The sequence below is a fragment of the Homo sapiens genome, chromosome 18 (assembly GCF_000001405.40).
Source record: "Homo sapiens chromosome 18, GRCh38.p14 Primary Assembly".
NCBI classification, from domain to species: domain Eukaryota; kingdom Metazoa; phylum Chordata; class Mammalia; order Primates; family Hominidae; genus Homo; species Homo sapiens.
The window spans coordinates 35099514-35124948 of NC_000018.10; the positions used below are offsets into that span (position 1 = coordinate 35099514).

A 25435-nucleotide genomic window follows, 5' to 3' on the forward strand; every position below is an offset into this window, starting at 1 on the left:
CTGAGGCAGGAGGATCTCTTAAGCCTAGGAGTTAGAGGCTGCAGTGAGGTATGGTTGTACCACTGCACTCCAGCCTGGGCAACAGAGTGAGACTCTGTCTCTGAAATAAAAAATAAAAATTTTAAAGCAATTGAGTTCACATGTGGCAGGAATTCTTCCTTGTAAGCAGACAATTCACTGAAGTTTGGGGGAAGTGAGAGAAGAGCAACATATCACCACCAAAGTCTATTACCCAAAGAATCTTCATGAAAAATATGGTATCTTCCAAAAGATTCCCTTCTCTTTATTTTGCTTTGTACTTGGTTTAGTTTCTATTTTAGCTGCATAAAAAACATTTGTGCAAAATTTATTGCTAATTATTTAGTTTAATGCGTGCTTCAGTTGCTTTTTTCTTCCAAATTTTCATTGATATGTAAGGTCTTTCTACATTTTCTAAAGTGGTCCTATTGATACATTTTAGGATATCAATGATGTGTAGCTCCCACAGTGGCAAAGCCTTGTTCAAAGTTTAATTTCTATAGCTTCCATTCATATTGTCACATAGCAAAGCTGTGAGCTGTGTGCTTGTCTGAATCACATGCTTACACACTCACACACATTCACACACTCACACACACAATCTGACTCACACTCTAGCTTTGTAACTATCTTGTGATTCACATTCAGCTAGTATTCCCACCCAAAGATGTAAAAGGTAAGAATCCAGTGATAATATAATTCACATAGCTAGATACCTTTCCATTTTCTTTAAAAAAACAGCAAATTACACCAGTGAGAATGGCTATTACTAAAAAGTCAAAAAATAACAGTTGCTGGTGAGGTTGTAGAGAAAAGGGAATGCTTATACACTGTTGGTAGGAGTATAAATTAGTTCATTGTGGAAAGCAATGTGGCGATTCCTCAAAGAGCTAAAAACAACTACCATTCAACCCAGCAATCCCATTATTGGGTATATACCCAAAAGAGTAGAAATCGTTCTACCTTAAAGACATATGCATGTGAATGTTCATTGCAGCACTATTCACAATAGCAAAGACATGGAATCAACCTAAATGCCCATCAATGACAAATTGGATAAAGAAAATGTGACACATATACACCATGGAATACTAGGAAGCCATAAAAAGTATCTATTTTATTGATTTAAATCTTATTCATCTCCACTCTCTAGTAACTATAATCTTTATATGAGTGTATCTCAACACAACTGGGCTACATATTACAAAGAAATTTAAAAAGTTTATCAGCCAGGCACAGTGGCTCACACCTGTAATCCCAGCACTTTGGGAGGCCGAGGCGGGTGGATCACCTGAGGTCAGGAGTTCAAGTCCAGTCTGGCCAACATGTGAAACCCCGTCTCTACTAATAAACAAAAATTAGCCAGACATGGTGGTGCATGCCTGTAATCCCAGCTACTCGGGAGGCTGAAGCAGGAGAATTGCTTGAACCCAGGAGGCGGAGGTTGCAGTCAGCCGAGATCGTGCCATTGCACTCCATCCTGGGCGACAAGAGTGAAACTCCGTCTCAAAATAAATAAAATAAAAATAAAAAGCTTATCAGTCTTGAAATAGCACAACATTCCAGGCGTCTGTTTTTCCAGAGAGACGTTTTGAGGATAAATGTACTATGAGTGGGACCAGCCCCTCTTGACAACTAAGGATATTCCTTTTGTCTGGCTTGTTCAGAAGTACTAAATATTCCAAGAAAATCAATAATGATGTTTTGGTTTAGTTCTTTTTTTTCTATTTTTAATTTTTGTATGTACATAGTAGGTGTGTATATTTATGGGGTACCTGAGGCATTTTGATACAGGCATGCAATATGAAAGAAGCACATCGTGGAGAATCAGTTATCCATTCCCTCAAGCATTTACCCTTTGAGTTACAAACAATCCAAGTACACTCTTTAAGTTATTTTAAAATGTACAATTAAGTTACTATTGACTATAATCACCCTGTTGTGCTATCAAATAGTAGGTTTTATTCATTCTTTCTAACTTTTTTGTACCCAATCACCATCCCCAACTCCCCCTTTCCAGCCACTAGTAACTGTCCTTCTACTCTCCATGCCTATGAATTCGCTTGTTTTGATTTTTAGATCCCACAAATAAGTGAAAATGTGTGATGTTTGTATTTCCATGCCTGGCTTATTTCACTTAGCATAATGATCTCCAGTTTCATCCATGTTGTTGCAAATGACTGCGACTCATTCTTTTTATGACTGAATAGTACTCCATTGTGTATATGTACCACATTTTCTTTATCCATTCATCTGTTGATGGACACTTAGGTTGCTTCCAAATCTTAGCTATTATAAACAGTGCTGCCACAAACTTACAAGTGCAGATATCTTTTTGAGATACTGATTTCCTTTCTTTTGGGTATATACCCAAACGTGAGGTTTGTAACTCACATAGTGATTTTTTATTGCAGGTAATTCCAGTGGAGAAGCTAGTGAAAGGACGTTTCCAGGACAACCTGGATTTTATTCAATGGTTTAAGAAATTCTATGATGCTAACTACGATGGGAAGGAGTATGATCCTGTAGAGGCACGACAAGGGCAAGATGCAATTCCTCCTCCTGACCCTGGTGAACAGATCTTCAACCTGCCAAAAAAGTCTCACCATGCAAACTCCCCCACAGCAGGTATTGTCACAATGAGATTGCGGGAGTTGCTTTCATCTTTGATAATGGCTCAGACCCTTCTGTTATTTACTGTGTGTTTCTGACTGATTCTTCTCAACAGTCAATATTTTAATGCCTTCGGATGATTTCTACTGTTGTCTGTTTCACCACATTTATCTTCCTGTGACCCATTTGTCATTAGTCTAACCATCTTCATTTAAACTATTAAAAAGGCAGAGCTATTTGCATTGTATCACTGAAGCTGGCAGTGAAAATAATGCTCCCAGGATAGATTTCTTTTTCCTTTTAGTTTTTCGAGAAATTTCAAGTAGCCTGTTTAGATTTTGACTGAAGTATTTTTACTGCTTAATTGCTGGCAGTACAGACCAGCATATGAACTGAACTCTGTTGTTAAATATGGATCATCGTCTCTAACCCTTCAAAGGAAATTCGTGAACTGTACATCCTACCTCCTCTGTAGGCAGTGGCAATTTTTATGCAGTAACATTCAGCAATACCCTATTTATCCAGCTTTGTCCAAAAGTGAAGTCGTTGAGGAAAAATATCTGGAACATTAAAACTTTTAAAACTTCTGTGGATAAAAAAAGAAAAAACCACTTTCTAAAATATATTATAAACATCCTTGCCATAAACAGCAGACCTTACCAAGCAGAATGTGTTCTTATAAAATTGGGTCATTATTAGAAACACAGTTGGGTACTGCACAATTAAGCATGAAATCATCCAAAATCATGTTTCCATCTCAATTGTGGAACCCAGTGTTCAAACTTGTTAAATCAGTAACCTGAATTTTGTAAATAAAACAAATTTCTTATTTGTGCCCAAACTACAATCTGAATGAAGTAGAAATGGTTAACAGGACCACATAGGTGGTAAGAGCTTTGAAATCACAGTTTTGCTTACTGTTAAACAGCATTTTTATCATCTTATTTCTGGATTTATGGCTGTATTCCAGGCAGACTGAAACCATTGGAAAACTGGCATTACTTTTTGAAATTTTTTTAATATTTAAAAATAAATATTTTTAAGGATAACATGAATACTCATACTCACTAGTATGAATTAGATGAATTCTTCATCTGCCTTAAAATAGTACTCATGTAGATGAAGAGGAATGAACAACTCTGGGAGAGTTGTTAGGAGGCAAAATAGACTGGATGTTGGTAATGGCTGAATGCTGGGATAAAAGAGAAGGAGATGTTAAACATGACTTCTTGTACAACTGGAAGGATTTGGGGTTTTGTTCAAGAAGTGCTGAAAGAGAACCAGATTTGGGAAGAAATCTTGAGTTTGTTTTGAACATACTAAGTTTGAGATTCTTTTGTGACATTTAAGAGAAGATCTACATAGGCAATTTTTGTGTTGGGGGTGGTGCACATGTGTGTCTGGAGCTCAAAGGAGTTATAGGCTAAAGATAAACATTTGTGATTCTTCCACATATTGATGTAATGGAAGCTGGAAGCAAATACTGAATGATAAAGGGTAGAGTGTCTTGAGAAACTTGGACATTTACTGGTTGAGTAGAAGAGGAAGGGCTTGCATAGGAAGCAGAGAAGGTGCCAGAAAGAATGAAGGAAACTAGGAAGTGATGTGTCAGGGAAGCAGAAGGTAGGGAGCATAATGGTCAACAATGTCTACATCTGCTGAGAAGTCAAGTTAAATGAGGCCTGAAAGAGTTCATTAGATTTCTCAACTTGAATGATTTCTCCGTTCAGTAGAATGGTAGAGCCAGGAATGGCTTGAGGAAAAAGTTGGAGAAAGGAAATTGAGACAGTGGAAAGATCCAACTTTGGAGCCATAATGGGTGAGCCTATATAGAATAAAGAAAACTAAGCACAGATCTTTGGAAATACATACATTTAAGGGGGAGGAGGAAGAAGAGGAAGCTGCAAAAAAGATGAACATCAGGAAGAAAACCAGAAGAGCTCAGCATCAGAGAACAAAAACCGTAGGAAATTTGTAGAAAGAGGGGTCACCAACAGTGCCAAATATTAATTGTGGCGATATCAAATAGGATGAAGCCTGAAAAATAGGCCAAAGTCTGACTCCTAGGAGGTGATTAATAGTCCCTCAGAGAATTGGTCCATTAAAATACTGAGGGCATAGGCCTAGATTGCAGCAATTTAACAAGGGCTTGTGGAAGTGGAGGCAGTAAGAGTAGATTCAACCTTTAACAAATGTGTCAGAAAAAAATGGAGGAAAATAAAAACATTTGGTTTGTGTAGGGAAAAGAGTGATAGTAGCTTCAGGAAATAAGATTGGAAGGAAGATGTTATTTTTTTTCAACTGTTCTTGTTTGCTTTTAGGATAAGGCAATGTAAGCAGGTTTGTAAGATGGGAGACATGTCTGTGGAGAAGGAATCATTGAAAATAGAAAAAGAGGGGAAATTGGAGTATGACGCTAAAGCTGAAAGGAAAAGGTGAGATGTCAAGGGCATAGATAAAGTGTTAGAAAGGAAAAGAGAGGATATTTATTTTCTTGGAGCCAAAGCGATAGGAGAGGCTGGGTAAAAATTAAGCCACAAAGAGTTTGGGAAACAAACATTGATGGCAGTTTAGATAGGCCTTCAACTTTTGTCAGCAGTTTTCATCAGTCTAGGAGCTGGGGTGGAGAAAAGGGGGATGTTGTGCCCTCTCCAAAGTCTGGGATTCAGGAGGTATGTCGGGTGGGAGGACAAAAAGCTAAGAAAATCAAGGGTGTCTGATATTTCTCATCTTAATGTCATTTTCTAAAGCTGTGAATGATGGATAGCTTGGACTCGAAACTCAACTGCCATTTTTTTCAAGTTTTCTGTAGTGAGATTGGACAGACCTCAGAATATTTTCTTCCACGATCATAACCTGTCCTTAATTTTTTTCTCATTGGTACCAATATTCCTCCACACCCAAATAGCACTGTTACTATGCTACCTTGGCCTCGTTTTCTAGGAATTCCCTCATCTGTCTTTCACAAAAGCTGCAGATAAACGTGTGCCATTTTGATAGAATGTCCATGAACCTGAAAGAGAAATATATATTTTCTAGAGCTTAACCTCTTGGGTGACAATGCTCAGGAAACACATTAAAGTCAACAGATAATAAATTTTATTTTTAATGTTCTGGAAGGCAGTAATTTCCTGAGACCATGTTCCTGATACCTTGACCATGTTTACGTTATTGGTCTTAATCAGGGAGAAATGATATTTTCAGAAGTCAAACTGCCATTCCCTTTCTAATAAAATATGCTCTGATTTTTGGGCATTGTAGGGTAGTAAAACTATACTGGGGGTATATCACATATAGAGTGTTATTATTAAAAGCCATGATAGGAGAAAGGCTCCTATAAATGCATTAAGACCTCATTTTTTCTAGAAGTCATATCCAGTTATTGGGAATACAGCCAAGATAATATAAGCCAAAATGTCTTCCAAGAGTCAGAATAGGTGCTATAAAATGTATGCACCTTAGTCTTCATTCATGAGTTTCTGAGGTACTTACCCAGAGTGTGTTTGCTCTTTCTTAATTTAGACATAATTGTAATAAAGATGGGGATGTGGTTTCTTAGCACATAGCTCATTAGGGCAAGGAATATACAGGTATCAATAGAAAGTACAAACCTCAGTTAAAAAAAAAAACTTAAAACCTTACTAAAGAGCCTCATAGTATCCTGGGATCTTTATTACAAAATCAAATCGTTCCATTGCCTCTCAGTAGTCTTTAGTATATGTATGACACCAGCAGGCAGTCATCAATACTCTCATAGGTCCCTTACAATTCTTAGAATTGTCATAATTCTCTGTAATATTGACCCTGATTTATTTCCCTCATGAGCTCTATTTTTACATTATCTAAACTGGCACCCCTGCTTGTGGGAGTCACTCAAAGCCGTTCTCTTTATACACAGTCTGCTTTTGTTCATCTGAAATTTAGAGCAAATGAAAGGTGATGGTCAGCGGTCTGGAAAATTCACATATCTGTATCACATTTATATCACAGTGTTGCCAGGTCACTAACATGTAGCAGTAATTTTGTTCCCACCTCTAAGCCTTGGTCATTTCTTAATTATCTGCATTAGTGGACGTAAGCAGTGGCTGGTATCATCAAAAACAGGTGATAGTCCTTAATTTTTTTTTATTTTGAGTTTGGAATACTTGATTTATTTTTTTAGTGGATTTATCTCTCCCCCAAAATTTCCTTAGGCCAATATTAAAATTAGCTTATGTCCTAACTATTATACAGTAAGAGCAGTAAGTGGCAGCTCCCAAACATTTTGTATGACAGAGGGACCAGATTAGAGTGGAAAAAGTGATCCTGGAGTAGATTGTCACCATGAAAGGACTCAGTCTACATTAGCAAGAAAAAAAATTGTGCTTTTACATTGTACAGACTACTTATATAAGCATGCACCAGAGATTGCTTATGTATAAAATAGATACATTCTAAATACTTGGTGCATCCTGTTTTTTTAAGAACATGCTAGATTTTTCAACCATTTTGATACAGATAAAAGCTTTTCTTTATGATTCAGAGAAGCCTTAGAATAGTTTGGCTGTGGCTTCTCTGTGTGTCGTTGGGGACTTTACTGTAACAAGCTTACTGCATAAGCAGAGGCTGTCACCTAAGGGTAAATGGCTGCTTGGTAAGTTTTATTGTCTACATTCTGAGGAGTTGCATCTTGAATTGGTTTTAATCTACCAACCAGGGGCATGTATTAAAATACACATTTTCACAATGATAGATATATAAGTACATGCATCATTGTGAATCATGATGTTTGTAAATTTATTGCTATGAGCCATATCTGCAACTCAAGATAGCTGTTGGTGGGGATTGGTTTTTATGTGTGAACACTTACTAAACATAAAAGGAAATTCAAAGTTATGTAGTTACTATAGCAACGACAGCTAAGACACATTGCAGATTCACATACATTCATGTATTTAAATCAAACGCCCATATATAAATATAGTGTGATAGATTTAGAGTTGCTATGGAAATTGAGTTTGAGCTTTCTGCTTTCCTTAGGGACTTCAGTGTTTTAGCCTTAAAATCAGATTAATAGGAATGCCACAAAAGTGGTTTCAAAAGGAAGCAACCTAAGTAGAATAGAATAAAGTATTTGAGCAATCATAATTAAATCCCTAAATGTAGATTTGAATAAATCCTAAGGTGTTTTTCAAGAACATTGTTGAATATTTGAATATTCTCACTCAACAATTACCCTTAATGTTGGGTTTTCTAAGGCTGTTTGTATGACTGTAAAATGTAATCATGTTTATTCATTTATTTGTTTAGCAATGTATGAGCATTTGTTGAGCACCTGTCATCTAAGTACTCATCACCTCTCACCTTCTTTTGGGAAATAAGAATTGCTTTACTTTGTTGGGTTTTTTGTTTGTTTGCTTTGCTTTTTAAGAGAAGCAGTAAAAAATAGCAGTAAGGAGTGGTTTTCATCCTTGTTCTGATCTTGGCTTTATGGCCCAGGATGTAGTCTTTTTTGGTCAGCGGACCACATGCACTTGAAAAGAATGTGTATTCTGCAGTAGTTGGTTGTATAGTGTTTTAGAAATATCAGTTAGATCAAGGTGTTTGATGGTATTATTCAGATCTTCTATGTGCGTTTTTTTACTTACCTAATACCAGTGTCAGAGTAAACAGATCTGTATTTTATGGATTTTTTTGTTGTCCAGTTCTAACATTTGCTGCAGAGTCTGTTGAATTTTCCTGCATTGATCATGGAATTGTCCATTTTTCCCTTTAATTCTCTCCATTTTTGTTTCTTGTATTTTAGTGCTCTATTACTAGATGTATATGTATTTATGTATTTACGAGTGTTAAGTCATCCTGTTGAATTGACCTTTTTTGTCTTCTTCTAAAAAAAAAAAGGGATACATGTGCAGAACGTACAGGTTTGTTACATAGGTATATGTGTGCCATGATGGTTTGCTGCACCTATTGACCAGTCCTCTAAGTTCCCTCCCCTCACCCACAACACCCAAACAGGCCCCAGTGTATGATGTTCCCCTCCCTGTGTCCATGTGTTCTCACTGTTCACTTCCCACTTTGAGTGAGAACATGCAGTGTTTGGTTTTCTGTTCCTGTGTTAGTTCGCTGAGGAAGATGGCTTCCAGCTTTATCCACATCCCTGCAAAGGACATGATCTCATTCCTTTTTATGGCTGCATAGTGTTCCATGGTATATATGTACCACATTTTCTTTATCCAGTCTGTCATTGATGGGCATTTGGGTTGGTTCCATGTCTTTGCTATTGTAAACAGTGCTGCAGTAAACATATGTGTGCATGTGTCTTTATAGCAGAATGATTTATATTCCTTTGGGTATATACTCAGTAATGGGATTGCTGGGTCAAATGGTTTTTCTGATTCTAGATCCTTCAGAAATCATCATACTGTCCTCCACAATGGTTGAAGTAATTTACATTCCCACCAACAGTGTAAAAACATTCCTATTTCTCCACAGCCTCGCCAGCATCTATTGTTTCCTGACTTTTTAATAATCACTATTCTGACTGTGTGAGATGGCATCTCATTGTGGTTTTGATTTGCATTTCTCTAATGATCAGTGATGTTGAGCTTTTTTTTTTTTTCATATGTTTGTTGGCTGTGTAAATGTCTTCTTTTGAGAAGTATCTGTTCATATTCTTTGCCCACTTTCTAATGGGGTTTTTTCTTTCTTGTAAATATATTTAAGTTCCGTGTAAATTCTGAATATTAGACCGTTGTCAGATGGGTAGATTGCAAAAATGTTCTCCCATTCTGTAGGTTGCCTGTTCACTCTGATGATAGTTTCTTTTACTCTGCAGAAGCTGTTTAGTTTAATTAGATCCCTTTTGTCAATTTTGGCTTTTGTTGAAATTGCTTTTGGCGTTTTTGTCATGTAGTCTTTGCCCATGCCTATGTCCTGAATGGTATTGCTTAGGTTTTCTTCTAGGGTTTGGGTTTTACATTTAAGTCTTTAATCCATCTTGAGTTAATTTTTGTATAAGGTGTAAGGAAGGGGTTCAGTTTCAGTTTTCTGCATATGGCTTGCCAGTTTTCCCAGTACCATTTACTGAATAGGAGATCCTTTCCCCATTGCTTGTTTTTGTCAGGTTTGTCAAAGATCAGATGGTTGTAGATGTGTGGTGTTATTTCTGAGGTCTGCTCCATTGGTCTATATATCTGTTTTGGTACCAGTACCATGTTGTTTTGGTTACTGTAGCCTTGTAGTATAGTTTGAAGTCAGGTAGTGTGATGCCTCCAGCATTGTTCTTTTTGCCTAGAACTGTCTTGGCTATACAGGGTCTTCTTTGATTCCATATGAAATTTAAAATAGTTTTTTACTAATTCTGTGAAGAATGTCAATGGTAGTTTGATGGAAATAGCTTTGAATCTATAAATTATTTTGGGAAGTATGGCCTTTTTATTGTATGAAGTGTTCCTCTTTATCTTTGATAATATTCTTTGTCTTGAAATCTATTTTATCTGACATTAATCTAGCTACTCCAGCTTTTATATGCTTACTGTTGCATGGCATCATCTTTCTCCATGATAAGTTAAATTTCTGCCTGTCTTTGTCTTTATAAAGTGTGACAGCATGTAATCAGGTCTTGCTTTTTTATTCATTCTGATAATCTTTACTGTTTAATTGGAGTGTCCAGCCCATTTACATTTCATATAATTATGTAATTATTGATTTGGTTGGATTTAGAGCTACCGCATTATCATTTGTTTTCTGTTTGTCCCCTCTGTTTCTTGTTTTGTTGTTTCTCCCTTCCTGCCATCTTCTGGATTTTTAAAGTATTTTTTAGAATTCTATTTTAATTTACTTACCGCCTTTTAAACTACACCTCTTTGCACTAATTTTTTAGGGGTTGCTCTAAGGATTACAATATATATTCTTGTTTTTTCACACTATCCTTTAAATTAATACTGTACACCTTTATGTAAAATGTGGAAACCCTGCAGCCACCCCTATAGTTGTCATATGTATTACATTTACATACATTATGAACCTCACAAGATAATGTTATAACTTTTGCTTTAAACCTACACTGTCTAATACACGTTGGCTTTTGAACACTTGAAATGTGCTTATTCATCATTAAAATGTGCTGTGTGTATAAAATGCGTGCTGAATTTAGAAAACTTAGTATGAGAAACAGAATGTAAAACATCTAATAATTTTTGTATTGACTACATGTAGAAATTATATTTCATATATGTTGTATATGTTTTGCGTATGTTAAAGTCAGTGGAGTTTTTTTACCTTTTTGATGTGGCTACTAGAAAACTTATGTGGTTCACATATTTCTATTAGATGGTTATGCTTTAAACAGTCATATCTATTGTAGAGAAATTACAGGAAAAGTTGTTTATTTCATATTTTTACTATTTTCAACGTTCTTCATTTCTGAACACCCAAGTTCCCTAGCGGTTTCATTTCTCTTCAGCCTGAAGGACTTTTGTTAGGATTTCTTATCCTGCAGGTCCAGTGGCAAAAATTATTTTAGATTTTCTTTTTCTGTAAATGTCTTTATTTTACCTTCATTCTTAAAGAATATTTTCACTTGATAAAGGATTCAAGCTGGGTTTTGTTTTTCCTTTTGTTTTATTTTTTGCCTGTAAGCACTTTAAAGATGTTATTCCACTGCATGTGGCCTCCAAAGATAAGAAGTGCATACTCATTCTACCCTGGAATGGAATACATAGTTTTTCTCTGAGTGCAGTCAAAATTTTCTCCTTATCTTTGGTTTTGAGTAGTGCGACTATGATGTGCCTAATTATGGTTCTGTTTGAATTTATCTTGTTTCAGAGTTCATTATGCTTCCTGAGTCTGTGAATTTATGTCTTTGGAAAGATTCCAAGCATTATTTTTTCAAATATTTTTTTCAGCTCCATTCTTTCTCCTGTCCTTCTGGGACTTCATTTATCCATATGTTAGAGCTTCTGAAATTATAACACAAGTCCCTGAGGCACAGTTGATTTTCTTCCCAGTACTTATTTTCTCTCTTCTTTAGATTAGATGGTTTCTGTTGATGTAAATTCAAGTTTACCCTCTCTTTCCTCTGTCATCTTCATTCTACTGTTGTAGAAGTCTTCATTTTTAAATTTCAGCTATTGTATTTTTCTGTTTACTTTTTTTTCTTTCTCTGCTGAGTTTGCCTACCTTTTCATTCATTATGAGCATATTTCCTTTACTTCACTAAACACGCTTATGGTAGCTGCTTTGAAAGTTTTTGTCTGCTAATTCCATCATTCTGGCCATCTCACAATTGACATCTGTTGATTTTATTTTTCTTTGAGAATATGTCACATTTTCCTGGCTCTTTATATGTCAAATAATTTTGGGTTATGTCTTAGTTATTGTGAATTTTAGTGCTCTGAAGACTGGATTTTGTTATATTGCTGTAAAGAGGGTTGATGCTTGTGAGTTAACAGGCACTTAACTCAATTAGAGTCCAAGGGAAAAATACTCAGGAAGTTAACTCCCATTCAAGGGGATCTTCAAGGGGATCTAACCTTAGCCTCAGGCCTGTCTGTGCCTTTATGCAAGACTTCGTTTTCCTTATTATTGCAAAGTGGCACTAAATCTTCATTTACCTTTTGAGAAACTCCTTAATTTAACCACAAATGTTGGTCTTTCCCTAAAGCCATTATTTGCTCTAAGAAATTCACTTTAGGTCAGTCTATGATGGCATTTGACTTACCGGAGCCCTGTAGGGTGGGCACAGGTACTCTTCTTGTCCCTTGATGGTCTTGCTATCAAGATGAGTCATGCCTGTTTATTCTTACAATTTTCCAGTAGATGCCTACTTGATACTGCTATTTTACAGTCCCCAGTCACTTATCCACATACCATCCTACCCAAGTACCTTACGTATGTCTTTAAGGATCAAATATTAATTTTAGAAATCATGTAATAATACAAGGAAAAGATGCATTTTTCTTACTAGCCCCATAATTAGCAAGACTTCTCTTCAAATAGATGTTAGTACTTCTCATTATTATGCAGAACACTGTTTCTTTCTTTCTTTCCTTCCTTCCTTTTTTTTTTTTTTTATGGACGGAGTTTCACTGTTATTGCCCAGGCTGGAGTGCAATGGTGCAACCTCCGCCTCCTGGGTTCAATCAAGCAATTCTGCTGTCTCAGCCTCCCGAGTAGCTGGGATTACAGGCATGCGCCACCATGCTTGGCTAATTTTGTATTTTTAGTAGAGATAGGGTTTCTCCATGTTGGTCAGGCTGGTTTTGAACTCTCAACCTCAGGTGATCCACATGCCTCAGCCTCCCAAAGTGCTGGGATTACAGGCGTGAGCTACCACACCCGGCAGAACATTGTTTCTTTTACCCAACCCCTACCCCATATTAGCATGGCATCCTTTTGACCTGTTCATATTAAGAAACTATCCCGTTGCTAAGCTGCATACCATTTAATGCCTACTCCCTTAGCTACATCAAGACTTGGAGCAAATAGAAAGAAATATTCTAATGGCCCAACTAATTAAATTATTGTAGAAGATCCCCTACTCCCTGGAAGAAGAGAGGTAGCAGTGGTTTTTTTCTTCTGATTACATGTGTAAGATGTATAAAAGACACTGCTAGACTTTTCTCCTCAAAGAATAACTGAAACTGCATTTCCCTACATTTTAGTCTGTTCAGGCTTCTATAACAAAATGCCATAAACTAGGTAGCTTTGTATAAACAACAGAAATGTATTTCTCACAGTTCTGGGGACTGGGAAGTCCAAGACCAAGGCACCAGCAGATTCAGTGTCTGGTGAGAGCCTGGTCCACATACATGGTGCCTTCTCATTGTTTCCTCAGATGGCAGAAGAGGCAAGCCCCCTTAGGCCTGTTTTATAAGGGCATTGATCTCATTCATGAGGGATCTGCCCTCACAACCTAGTTACCTCCCAAAGGCCCCACCTCTTAATACTACTGTGTTGGGGATTAGGTTTCAACGTATAGATCTGGGGGGGAACACAAACATTCAGACTATAGCACCTACCTCTTATGATGATAAAAACCCCAGCATAAAATATGAGCAGTGCCCTGCCTTGCCAGGACACTGAATATTTCTGAATTTAAACTATTGAGCAGAGAGAAGAGCAGAAAATTATGAAGAATTCTGGAGTTTCAAATAGGAATCTCCTGGCAGCGTCTGTAGAAAAGCCCAAGGGCTTCTTCCTAGGAAGAGCCATACATTTTTCATTGCCATCCTAATTTCTTTGCTTACTGAGGTAGCATTTTTGACAGATGATTTACTAATTCAATTTGCAATTTTTAATTATTTTGGCTTTCTGGGTCAAAGTATGTACATTGTTTTTTAAAAAAAAACTAGAGTGTTTTAAAGCTTAGAGATCAAAAACTACAGAATGTTGTGATACTATTACTTTGCAACTCAGAATCTGAATCTTAATATGAATAGAATTTTTCATGAAAGTTAAGGGAAATGAAAACATTTAAAATGTGGAAGGAAGGCCAGGCACATGCCTGTAGTCCCAGCTCTTTGGGAGGCCAAGGTGGGAGGATTGCTTCAGCTCAGGAATTTGAGAACAGCCTGGGCAACATGGCAAAACCCCGTCTTTTCAAAAAATACAAAAATTAGCCAAGCATGGTGGCACACACCTGTAGTCCCAGCTACTCAGGAGGCTGAGGTGGGAGGATCACTTGAGCCTGGGGTTCAAGGCTGCAATGAGCCATGTTCATGCCACTACACTCCAACCTGGGCAACAAAGTGGAACCCTGTCCCAAAAAAATAAAATATAGAAGGAGTCATCAGTAATATTAGCAAATATTTATTGAGCACATATTAAGTGTCAGCTATTATCCTAAGAACTTAATATGTATTCAGCAATTCTAAAAGACAGATCATATTATTACCCTCCACTTTAAAGTTGAGGAAACTGAGGCACGGAGAGGTTTAGTAACTTGCCAGGGTCACACACTAGAAGGAGAGGACTTAAGATTTAAGGCCTGACTCTGTGATTCCAGAATCCATGCTCTTTCATCATTATATTATATTGCGTCTCTCATATGTCATGGATGTGGTCTTGTTTTCTCCTCTTACCTCCTCCCCACACTATGCTGAACCACGGTAAATTTCACAACCAAATTCAAATTACATGGTGTATGGAGGATATACAAAGCTCTGCAATGTTGCTTAGGCTTGAGACAGCAGAACATATGCTGTTGTATTGCGATGACATTTTTTTTTATCGTGATTTTTCAAAAGTTCAAAAACATTTCCTTTCATCCTTACAGTAGGTTCTAGGGTGAGAGAGAGTTACTATACTGTAGAGTTACTGTCTACATTTATAGATGCAGGAAATGTTAAAACCATTTGTTCCAGGCCTCTTATTAGCTCAAAAGCAGAAGTGTATACAAAGCCAAGAATATTGAGCCCTAGATTAGTAGAATTACTAATCTCTGATTTCTTAATCCTTCAAGTCAATTAGCTCTCCGTGTGAATGGTCTGGGTGATTTGAAAGTGAAGGATAGATGCAATTGGCATGTATTTGGGCACTCAGAGTCTGTTCCTTCACACAGAGCTCTGCAGAGGAGGGCGAGGGTCTCCACTGTTGTCCTCCCTGCACTGGAAGGCAGACCATCCTAGCCCTTTTTAAAACAGCATTGGGTCATTAATCTTATATAGCTGTTCCTGATATGTGTTGAAATATTAATTCTATAACTAAACCCCATGTGCTCATCTGATGGATCATTCCTTTTCTCTCCATAGGAATAATATCAGATTTTACTTCTCAGCCTAGCTGTAAACCTCGCCAGGCCACACAAGACAGTGACTTAGGATTCATTCTTAGTTTCCACAGCAGAATATCATAGATTGTCTGTGAACCTATTTTTCTTTATTATTGATACTTTTTTTTGTTGCTTAGTATATTGGGCAGGAATCGAAAACAGCTTTGACTTGTAGAATTTTCTAGAATCCCTTTGAATTGGGTGAACTACACTATAACTCAACTTTGTCTTGCTCAATCATTGTTCCCCCATTGCCTGGCCTGTAGAAGGTCCTCATATAATTATTGAGTTGATGAGTTTAAGTTGAATCATTGCAGCATTCATCTTGATCAAGGAAGATGTAGTACTCAGTCAACACATGGCTGTTTTTGAAGTGCTCTCCAGTCATTTCCATCACCTGAGAAGCCCCTTACACTGTAACTTAGAAAGTATGCTAGTACACTACACAGTAGCTCAGAAAATGTTTCCTTTTGAAATTTTGTTTCAATAGTTTTTGGGGTACAGATGGTTTTTGGCTATATGGATAAGTCGTTTTATGGAGATTTCTGAGATTTTAGTGCACCCATCACCTGAGCAGTATACACTGTACCCAATATGTACTCTTTTATCCCACACTCAGCCCCCAACCTTCCCCACCCCCGAATCCCCAAAGTCTGTCATATCACTCTTATGCCTTTGCATCCTCATAGCTTAGCTCCCACTTAGAAATGAGAACACGCACTATTTGATTTTTCATTCCTGAGTTATTTCACTTAGAATAATGGTCTCCAGCTCCATCCAAGTTGCTGCAAAATATATTATTTCATTCCTTTTTATGGCTGAGTAGTATTCCGTGATGTATATATACCACATTCTCTTTATCCACTCATTGGTTGATGGGCACTTAGGTTGGTTCCATATCTTTGCTATTGTGAATTGTGCTGCTATAAACATGTGTGTGCATGTGTCTTTTTCATATAATTACTTCTAGAAAATGTTTCTTACCAGTTCCTACTTTTTGGATTCCTTGCTCTTTTTGTGAAAGCTTTACCTGAATTCTCAGTCATTCTTTTTTACTAATTGATTTAGTTTGTCAACAAATGTTTGTTGAAGCACTGTAAGAGATTCTGGAGATACATAGTGATTCTGACAAGACCTGTTTTCAAGGAAATTAAATCCTAGTGGGAAAATCTGACAATAAATAGGCAATAGTAATAGAGGCGAGTTCCTTCAGCATATATAGGAAGAACACCTGAGCTAGTCTTAAACATCTTCTATAAAGGTTTCTGAAAAAAGTAAAGTTCAAGCAAAACTTAATGTATAAGTAGATGTTAGCCAAACGGAGGTGTATTGAAGAGCATTCCAGGCAGAAAGACAAGGATGCTGAAGTCGAAAGAATGTGCTCCATTCAGTAAAGTGCATGTTGTTCAGTGTGGATGTTGAGATATGAGACTGCAGAGGGAAGCGGGGCTCTTCTTATTGCTACAAAAATAAAATCACAAACTTAGCAGCTTAAAACAACACTTATGCATTATTTCACAGATTGTAAAGTCCAGGCACAACTTAGCTGGGTTATCTGTTTTAGGATCTCACCAGACTATAATCCAGGTATCCACTGGGGTGGTGGTCTCATGAAAGGCTCAACTGGGGAAAGATTTGTTTCCAAGCCCCCTCAAGTTGTTGACTTGAGGCTGCAGGACCAAGGCTTCAGTTTCTTGCTGAAGGCCACCCTCAGTTCCTAGAGGCCACTTGCACCTCCATGCCTTATGGGCTTTTCCAACAAAGATGCTTACTTCGTGGCAACTGCTTCTTCAGGGCAGTAGGGGAAGTCTCTCTGGTGTGTTTGTCAGCAAGACAGTCATGTAGTAACATAATGGTAAGAGTGACTCCCATTACCTTTGCCATGTTCTGTGGGTTAGAGTCAGGTCACGGGTCTTACATACACTCAAGGGGAGGCTATCATACAAAAGCATGAACACCAGGAGGTGGAGATCATTAGGGTAAGGGGATTACTGTAGGATTTGTTTGTCACACCGAGGTTACACTTTATAGTAGGGAGTCATGGAAAAGTTTAAGCAGAAGCATGCTTTGTATTATAGAAAACACATTAGAGAGGGCACAGTTAGAATCTCGTAAACCAGCTGAGAGGCTTTGCAGCAAACCACATGGGAGAAGACAGTGGCCTTAATGAAGGTAGTAGCCATGCGGGTGATGGAGACCGTAAGATGATACAGTCAGCAAAATTGGATGATTAATGGGTTATGGGAAGTAAAGCAGAGGAGGAAATTGGGGATAAATGTTACACACATTTCTGACTTACTAGTCGGTTGATAGAAGCAGAGATCCCTGGACCAGGAGCCTGGTGAGCATGGGGCTCACCGCGGAGTTCTCCCTTCCCTGAGCTCCAGCCTGCCCTGTGGCCTCAGACCGTGTCTCTCTTAGCCGGAGAGTCTGGATAAGATGGTGTTAATGGAGCACAACAGGCTGGCCACCATCGGAAAAACAACCGCAAACACTGGTCTTGCTAGTTATTGGTCAACAGGGGTTCTGACTGGAGTCTAAAGGACAAGACATTATACACTTAGTACTTACGTTCCCCCAAAATGACCATCCTAGTGTATAAGCTTTTTGGTTAAATGACTGCTGCGTACCAGGAGTGCAGTAGCACCCTTGATGTAGTTGTTGTGGTGACACCTGTGTGTCGTCTGCCCAGTGGGCTGGCTCAGTGTGCTGGGCTCTGTCACCATCTTCCCCTGTTACTGCAGTAAACAGGCGAAGGGGTACTCTAAATTATTGTTGGGATGTGGTGTGTGTGGTTTTCACTGGGGTGAGTGAGCCTCACCATTTCTGTTGCTCTGAGAATGATCAAAAAATAATATTTTAAATGAAGATAGTGATTGGATGTGATACTTAATGTGTTTTAAAGGACACTTAATATTTTACCAAGATGCGAGGGGTGAAAAGTCAGTAGTTTATTGAAAGAAATAGCATGTTGAAATAACTATTTAAAAGAGAATTTTTAATACTTGAGCCATTTTAAGATGCAGAACGCTTTCCTGCATTTTTCCCCCTGTGAAAAATTCTCTGAAACCAGAGTGACTCAAGCAGAGCCTGGAAAATACTGGAGAATCACATGATGGCTAAAAATAAGCACATCATCTCTAGCAGGGACAGTAAGCAGCAGGGCAGAAGTAACTCAGTATGTGAAGGCTCACACTCACTGGACATGCTCAGGAGAGTCAGGCCCTCTGTCCTTGGCAGGGGCAGGCTTTGAGACCACAAGTCAGCGAAGAGAGGTCCTCAGGTGCTGACCACTCTGTGCCACAGCAGCCATGCCCTCGGCAGGCCCCTGACCTGCAGCGCGCCTCACTCGTATGCTCTCCCAGGGGCAGAGCCATTTATTTTACACTGTAATGACCCCTAAACAGTGGATTGGGAGGGAAACCGGCTGACTCAGCTCTTGTTACTGCCCGTTTTCTCTTAAGCCCTCCCCTTGGAATCAATAGCACATGCCATTGATCACAGAATGTCTTTTTGTTGCTGTTAACATTGCAAAACATAGGTTTTGTGAAATTGCTGGACATTTGGCGACTGTTCTGTAGGGTACAGAATAGGGTTTCCTAAACTATAGCATTGCAAGTACTTTACCAAAAACACAACAAATCTTGTCTTGGGCACTCACTGCTCATACCCAGGAAAATTACTGCAGTAGCCACCTAGCTGGCCTTTCTGCAGCTCCCCTCAGCCTCCCTGGTCTGTTCTCAACACAGCAGGCAGAGTGAGCCTTTTGAAAGCAAAGCTAGATCATGTCACTCTGTTCAGGATCCTGCAGTGGCTTCCCTTTTCCCTTGCGAGGTCCTTTGCGACCTGCCCTTCCAGTACATCTCTGACCTTCTGTCTACCTACAGTATCCCATTCTTACCCTGCCTCACCCACCTGACCTGGCTGCTGAGTGGAGAAGGCAGGGCCTTTGCACCCCCATTCAGCATTTCCTCTGCCTGGCCTGCTCTGCTCCTGGCTGTCCAGACGGCCACCTTCCTCTCCTGCCTCAGGTCTTGGCTCAGGTCTCACACTTACTGTGAGAGACCTTGAAGAAGGAAGGGTTACTCCTGCAACTGGCATGTTCCCTGCAGGGAACCTGGAAGTTGTGACTATGGAGTTTGTTACAAGAGCTGTTGGCTTCTGTGAAGAATGAGACTTTTGAGCCCCGGTGACCCCACACAGGAGGTTCTCGCCTCCCGTGTCTGTGCCAGACTGCTGCAGGACTCCCAGCAAGAGGGGCACCTGGCGCTGCCCTGCTGGTGCTTGGTGTTCTGACCTCCGTTCTTCTGGGTGGCCTTGGTGTGAGTGTGGCCCATGAAAGTACCATGGGTCTGAGTTGAAAAACTGAAACTGGAGGAAGACCCATAGTGGATGCTTAGGCCTTCCATGAAATTCCTATTTAAAATTGCTACTTACCCACCCGCAGCCCAGCTCTGTCTACCCAACCCTGCTCTGCTTTTCTCTTGTTCATAGCACTTATTTTCTAGTTTATTCTATCACTTCCTAATTTATGTTATTATTTATTGTCTAGTTCCCCTGTTAGAATGTTAATTCCACAAGGACAAGCATCTTGTGCGTTTCATTCATTGTTTGATCTCAACTGCCTGTTAGCTTCCCAGGTACATAATAGGGTTATGGCTCAATAAAAATTTGCACAAATGAATGAATTAGGATAATTTAGAAGAAGCACAGACGGAGATAGATAGGGAGTGCATGGAATGGAAGGAACCTATGCCTTGGAGCCCATTGGTGGGTTATGGGTTAATCACATTTTTTGGTTCTAAAAACAAATTTATTGAAGCTGAGCATATTTACATGATGCAGTTGTGCATCTTTATACAGTAGTTGTTCACTGTGTAAAAACTGGGTTAATCAATTTTTATAAAAATGTTCTTTAAATAAAAATGAGCCTTATTTTCTTAGTATTTCAGCTGTTTTTAGTAGTATCTAGAAATGGGAAACAAGTGCACTTTTGCATCATTTGTTGAATCAGGTCTTATTTGCTGAGTAATAATAGTAATGTAAGCTACCATTTATTGAGCACATGCTGTGTGCCAGACCCTTGTGTAAGCATTTTCCATGTATTAAGTCATGTACCCCTCCCAACTCTGAGAAGTTGGTGCTGCTCCTCCTTTCTTAAATGTAAAGCAAGGTGGCCACAAAGCCACACCAGTCAGGAAGTAGTGGAGCTGGGACCCCTAAGAAGGCTCTCTGGCTGCAGAGCCCCCACTCTTGACCACTGCACTCACTCCCTCCCTAGAGGCAGGTGAAGGATGTCCAATTCCCTACCAGGTCTTCATTCCCACGAGATTGGTGTGGCTAGTGCCTGCTGTGTGGAGCTGCCCCTAGCTGCTCAAGGAGGACTGCCCACTCTTAAGAGCCTCCACTGAAAAGGAAGAGCTGCAGACCTCACCACTGGCTGCACTGGTCAGAACAGAAGTCCTAAGGGCTGTAAACTGCCAATTTCAGAATTAAAAAACCAGCCTCCTAGTGATCTCATGAATCAGAGCATCCCAGAACCCTGTTAAAGTTTCATTTGGATGGAAATCTGTCCACTGAGGTGCTTTTTTGCCCTCAGCTCAGAGCAGATTACAGAATCTACAAAGTGACAGTACGGAGGCAGTTTTGAAGGAAAGACTAGGTCAATATAACTTGAATTTGCAGTAATCAGAATTCTGTAGGGACTGGCAACCCTATTGCAGTATGAGGGCTGTGGTGTCAGTTCAGTTACTGAGGAAGTCCTCTTCCTATGGAATTCACTCTCCTCATCAGTCTAGCCCATACCCTTTCTCCAGCAATGACATTACTTTTTTTTTTAACCAAGCTCATCATCTGTTAAAAAATATAATCTCTTTGCCAAGGTGCAGGGGATAAGAAAGTAATATCAAATCCATCCACAATGAATCAATACAGATGCAGTGTATCTTCTGCCATAGTTGTTCAGCTCTGGGTTTTCTTCAATTGAGTGAGAACGGCTAGGGGGATGGTTTGGGAAGGGAAGGGGCTCTCAAAGTAGAGAAAAATTGGGATTGACCATGACCAGAAGAGTGGTGGCCGCCTGCATGTGTGTGTGCACACGCTCATGTTTTTAATGTCTCTTGTCAACAGTATTAATGTCATATTTTTATCTCCTCTGTTTATGACTTTGGCAAAAGGAATAATATGGCAGATTATGTGAAAAGAATTTCTAAATTCCAGCAGAGTCTTGGCCATGAAGGATAAAGCCAAGTCCAGTGCTTTGATTTGCTTCATCCTTCTGAATCCATTGGGCCTCATATGCCCAACTTGTTGCAGCGTTTTCCATAAACATTAAGCAAGCTACTAGTTATTGACATTAGACACGGTAATGCCCTGGCTTCACTAAGGCAGTGAATCTGACCACTCCGAATTTTTTTACAACTATGGTTAAAATGTCAGAATCATATTTATACCCCCAAATCCTAAAGGCATTAATTAAGACACAACTGCTCAAAGACTAGCATTGTAAATCATGTCCAGTGAGCAAATTCAGAGAATTACAGGGACTTAGACAGAATTTATGCTTTTTTCCTCTGCTTCTGAGATTCCTTTTTATTTTGAAAGGTAAAATTAGGGAGGTAGAAAAGCTTGAGGGCAAAATGGTTACTTGTAAACAGGGCCACTACTAATTATGTTCTCAGGACATCCTCAAATGCAGCTTGAAAAAAAATTTGAAATGTTTGAATCAGCTGCAAGAAAAAAAAATCTATATCTGTATTACAGCCAAAGTAGGTGCACTCTCTGTAAAAGCTGTTATGTAAATGTTTTCCACATAAGCATCATTGAGCCAAGAGGCCTGGTAAAGGTACAGAAGTCAAATCACTGATGGAGTGGGGCATTCTGGGAAGCAAGAAGATAGCTATTGAGGACTTCAGTATCTAAAACCAGGATTGGATGCTGTCAGAGACATGTTTGGAGCAGTTTACGAGATTGGAATACAGATGGTAGCTCACATAAAAGTATTCTATCAATGTTAAGTTTATGACATTGATAACTGTGCAGTTTTGTGAGAACATTCTTGTTCTAGTGCCCAGGTAAGGGGGAAAGAGTATCTGGCAGCCCCAGAAATTTTAGAGTGTGGTTGTTAGAAGGCAGCGAGACCTAGAAAGCAAATAAACAAAAACAAGTTCTTAACTCTAAAGAGTTATGCTGTATGTTAGGATATTGTCTTTTATTTATTCTGAAAAAGAAAACATGAAATCATTGAATATAATGAGGACAAAAGGTTTCATTTTTATTTTTATACATTTAGTATTTCTTAATCATGTGACAGCTGTGAGGGGTAAATTACTTCCGTTTCAAATTGCAGCTTGGGATGATTTAATGAGCCCACTTTACATTTATTTGAAAACAAGCTTTTAGTTTAACTGTTAATTATGGGGTTTTTTTGTTGTAGTTGTTGTTTTACCCAAACCTCGGAAGATACTAAGATCTTTCCCATGCCTTTCCTGTTCTTTAATTTCTTCACATTTATTCATTTGAAGGTAAAAATGTAGTTAAGTAGGCCTGATCTCACATATCCTCATGCATCATTTATTTTCCTGTTATCAGTTTTTCTCCGAACAATAGAATTTCAAGATCCCTCTCATTTTAAATATCAAATACTAGTTACCTAAGTGATTGATTATTAAATGTTTAGAATTTTTTTTCCATTTCTTCCTTCACTCAGCCTGCACTGTGTCCCCGTTAGTGAGGCTTAACGGTGGGGCAGAAGCGGTGCTTCCATCCCACATGTGTGTAGGTGGTGGAGCAGCAGAGGTTGCCGAGCCTGATTTTCATCGCCTGCACCTCTCTCATCTCAAAGGGATCCAGGAGGTGCACGTGTGTGTGCCAGTGGGAAAGCCCTGGGGCCCTAGGCCACCACCTGACCTTTGCCTGATTCGTGAGCACAGATGCCATTTTAGGGCCGAGACTCTGCTGAACCACAGCTTGGTGAGTCCAAGCCACACAGGCAGGTTGAAGTTGGGCTCTGTTAACAGAAAGGGATATTTCCTCAGGGGAAGAAAACAAAACAAAACCTGTTTCCCCAAGTGGCTGTGTGTGGCTAGAAGGGGGAGAGCATCAGTAACTGCAGCAGCTGTGCCCTCCCTCCCTGCCGTGAGCCATGCTGAGCGCCTCCAGCGGCCGGGGATTCTCCCTGCGTGTCTCACTGCTCTCCTGGCCAGTGTCCTCTGCTTCTTCATAGTTGCTCTTCCCCGATAACGTGGCTTTGCCCAGGGGTTTGGCTTGCCATGACCCCTTCTACATCTTATCAAACATTTCAGTTTTTTTTTCAAGCTCTGTTTGATAATACCCTGAGAATATAATTAGTGGTAGCCCTTTATTGTAAGCAATCAGCTTCTGTTTCTTCCATGATTTTTTCTTTTTAAATTGACATCAGACTGGATAAGGCCAGATACCAGAACATGAGTGTGTCTGATGATCCTAGCTCAGTTATTGCAACGACTTTTTTGTTGCTGACCTGCCTATGAAAGACTGCCAGGGTGGGTGGGTCGTCACATGCTATCTAGGGAAGCCCCCTCTGCAAGGCTGTGTCCCTCAGGAGGGGCCAGTGAGCATGGCACAGGCTTGGACAGCCCAGCATAGACCACTCAGAGTTAAGCATATACTGACTGAGTTTACTCCACCTCTCCTAATTGTGTAGGTAAGGAGCCTAAGTAATTTACAGAAGGTAATCTTAAGAGGAAACCAAGGAGGAGCTCTCTTTCTGGGAGGCTGATGGTTTTTATTTGGTTTCCTTCTTGTCTTGCTGGTTCTTTGTGTCTGTGACTTTGACATTGGCATCAGCTCCTCAAGCTTCCCCTGGTGTCCTTACCCTGGAGAGATGCCTCTGCTAGGTCTTATATAATGAATTATAAAAACTATTATTGAATTTCTCTGGGTTAGGCACTGTGATTGGTGGTGAGAGCATAAGGTGACTAAAACAGATGAAACACCTATGTCCTAGGGTTTATGTTCATGGGAGAAGTAGACATTAAAGAAATAGCTGTACCACAACAGTGGAAAGTGTTCAGGGCACTGTGGCCTCCCAGACAAAGTGACATCTGAGCTGAGACTGGCAGGGTGGTAGACCTACTTGCTCAGAGGAGGTAGGGGACAGGAAGGAGGCAGAGAGAATACAGCCTGACTTGCATGGTGTATTAGTTCTTACAGTGCCATAAAGAACTGCCCAAGACAGGATAATTTATAAAGAAAAGAGGTTTAATTGACTCACAGTTTCTCAGGGCTAGGGAGGCCTCAGAAAACTTAAAATTATGGCTGAAGGGGAAGCAAACATGTCCCTCTTCACACGGCAGCAGGAAGGAGGAAGTGCCAAGCAAAGAGGGAAAAAGCCCCTTAAAAAACCGTCAGATCTCATGAGAACTCACTCAATATCACAAGAACAACATGGAGGTAACCGCCCCCCATGCTTCAATTACCTGCCACGGGGTCCCTCCCACAACATGTGGGGATTATGGGAACTACAATTCAAGATGAGATTTGGGTGGGGACACAGCCAAACCACGTCACATGGGATGGTCATGGAGTCATAGAACCCTGGCTTGTTCCTGAGAACATTGAAGGTGCCATACCAGAAATTCTTAGATAGCTGTTGCTCTGTGTGAGACTGAGCTAGAGAACAAAGACTGCATCTTAGGCATTTTTAGGGGCCTCCAGTGCATGGCCCATGGCAGGCACTTAACAAATATGTGTGTAAGGGGTGTTGATCATAGGTAGTCTTCGCACTGCTTTCTGTTAGACTTCCTTTATATTAAAATATGAGGTATTGCTTATAAAAAGATCTGAAAGAACTTGATATTTCCGAGCTGTCTCCCCAGCTGTTAGGCTGGTGGCTGCCTCAGAGAAGATTCTTTGCCAGATCAGGTGTCCTCACCCTGCCTCCCCTGCCTGCTTGTCTACTTGTTTTCTTTACCCAGTTGGTTTGCCTTTGGGTTAAAGAACTTGGTCAGCGGGACATGGAAGTAGTGTTCCAGGAGTGTTTTATATGGGCTTCAACAGAGCTGAAGCCCA

At 39.6% G+C, this 25435-nt stretch overlaps 1 protein-coding gene across 5 annotated transcripts in view; it reads left to right on the forward strand.

Moving 5' to 3' along the window:
- The window catches only part of MAPRE2 (microtubule associated protein RP/EB family member 2), a 166444-nt gene that overhangs the window by 122487 nt on the left and 18522 nt on the right, over nt 1-25435 (forward strand). For all 5 annotated transcript variants that reach the window (NR_046177.2, NM_001143826.3, NM_001143827.3 and 2 more), the window contains one exon: nt 2433-2646. Coding sequence is in view for 4 of the 5 variants with exons in the window: in NM_001143826.3 (NP_001137298.1) it covers nt 2433-2646 (214 nt within the window). In the remaining variant the exon portion in view is untranslated. The remainder of the gene's footprint in view (nt 1-2432; nt 2647-25435) is intronic.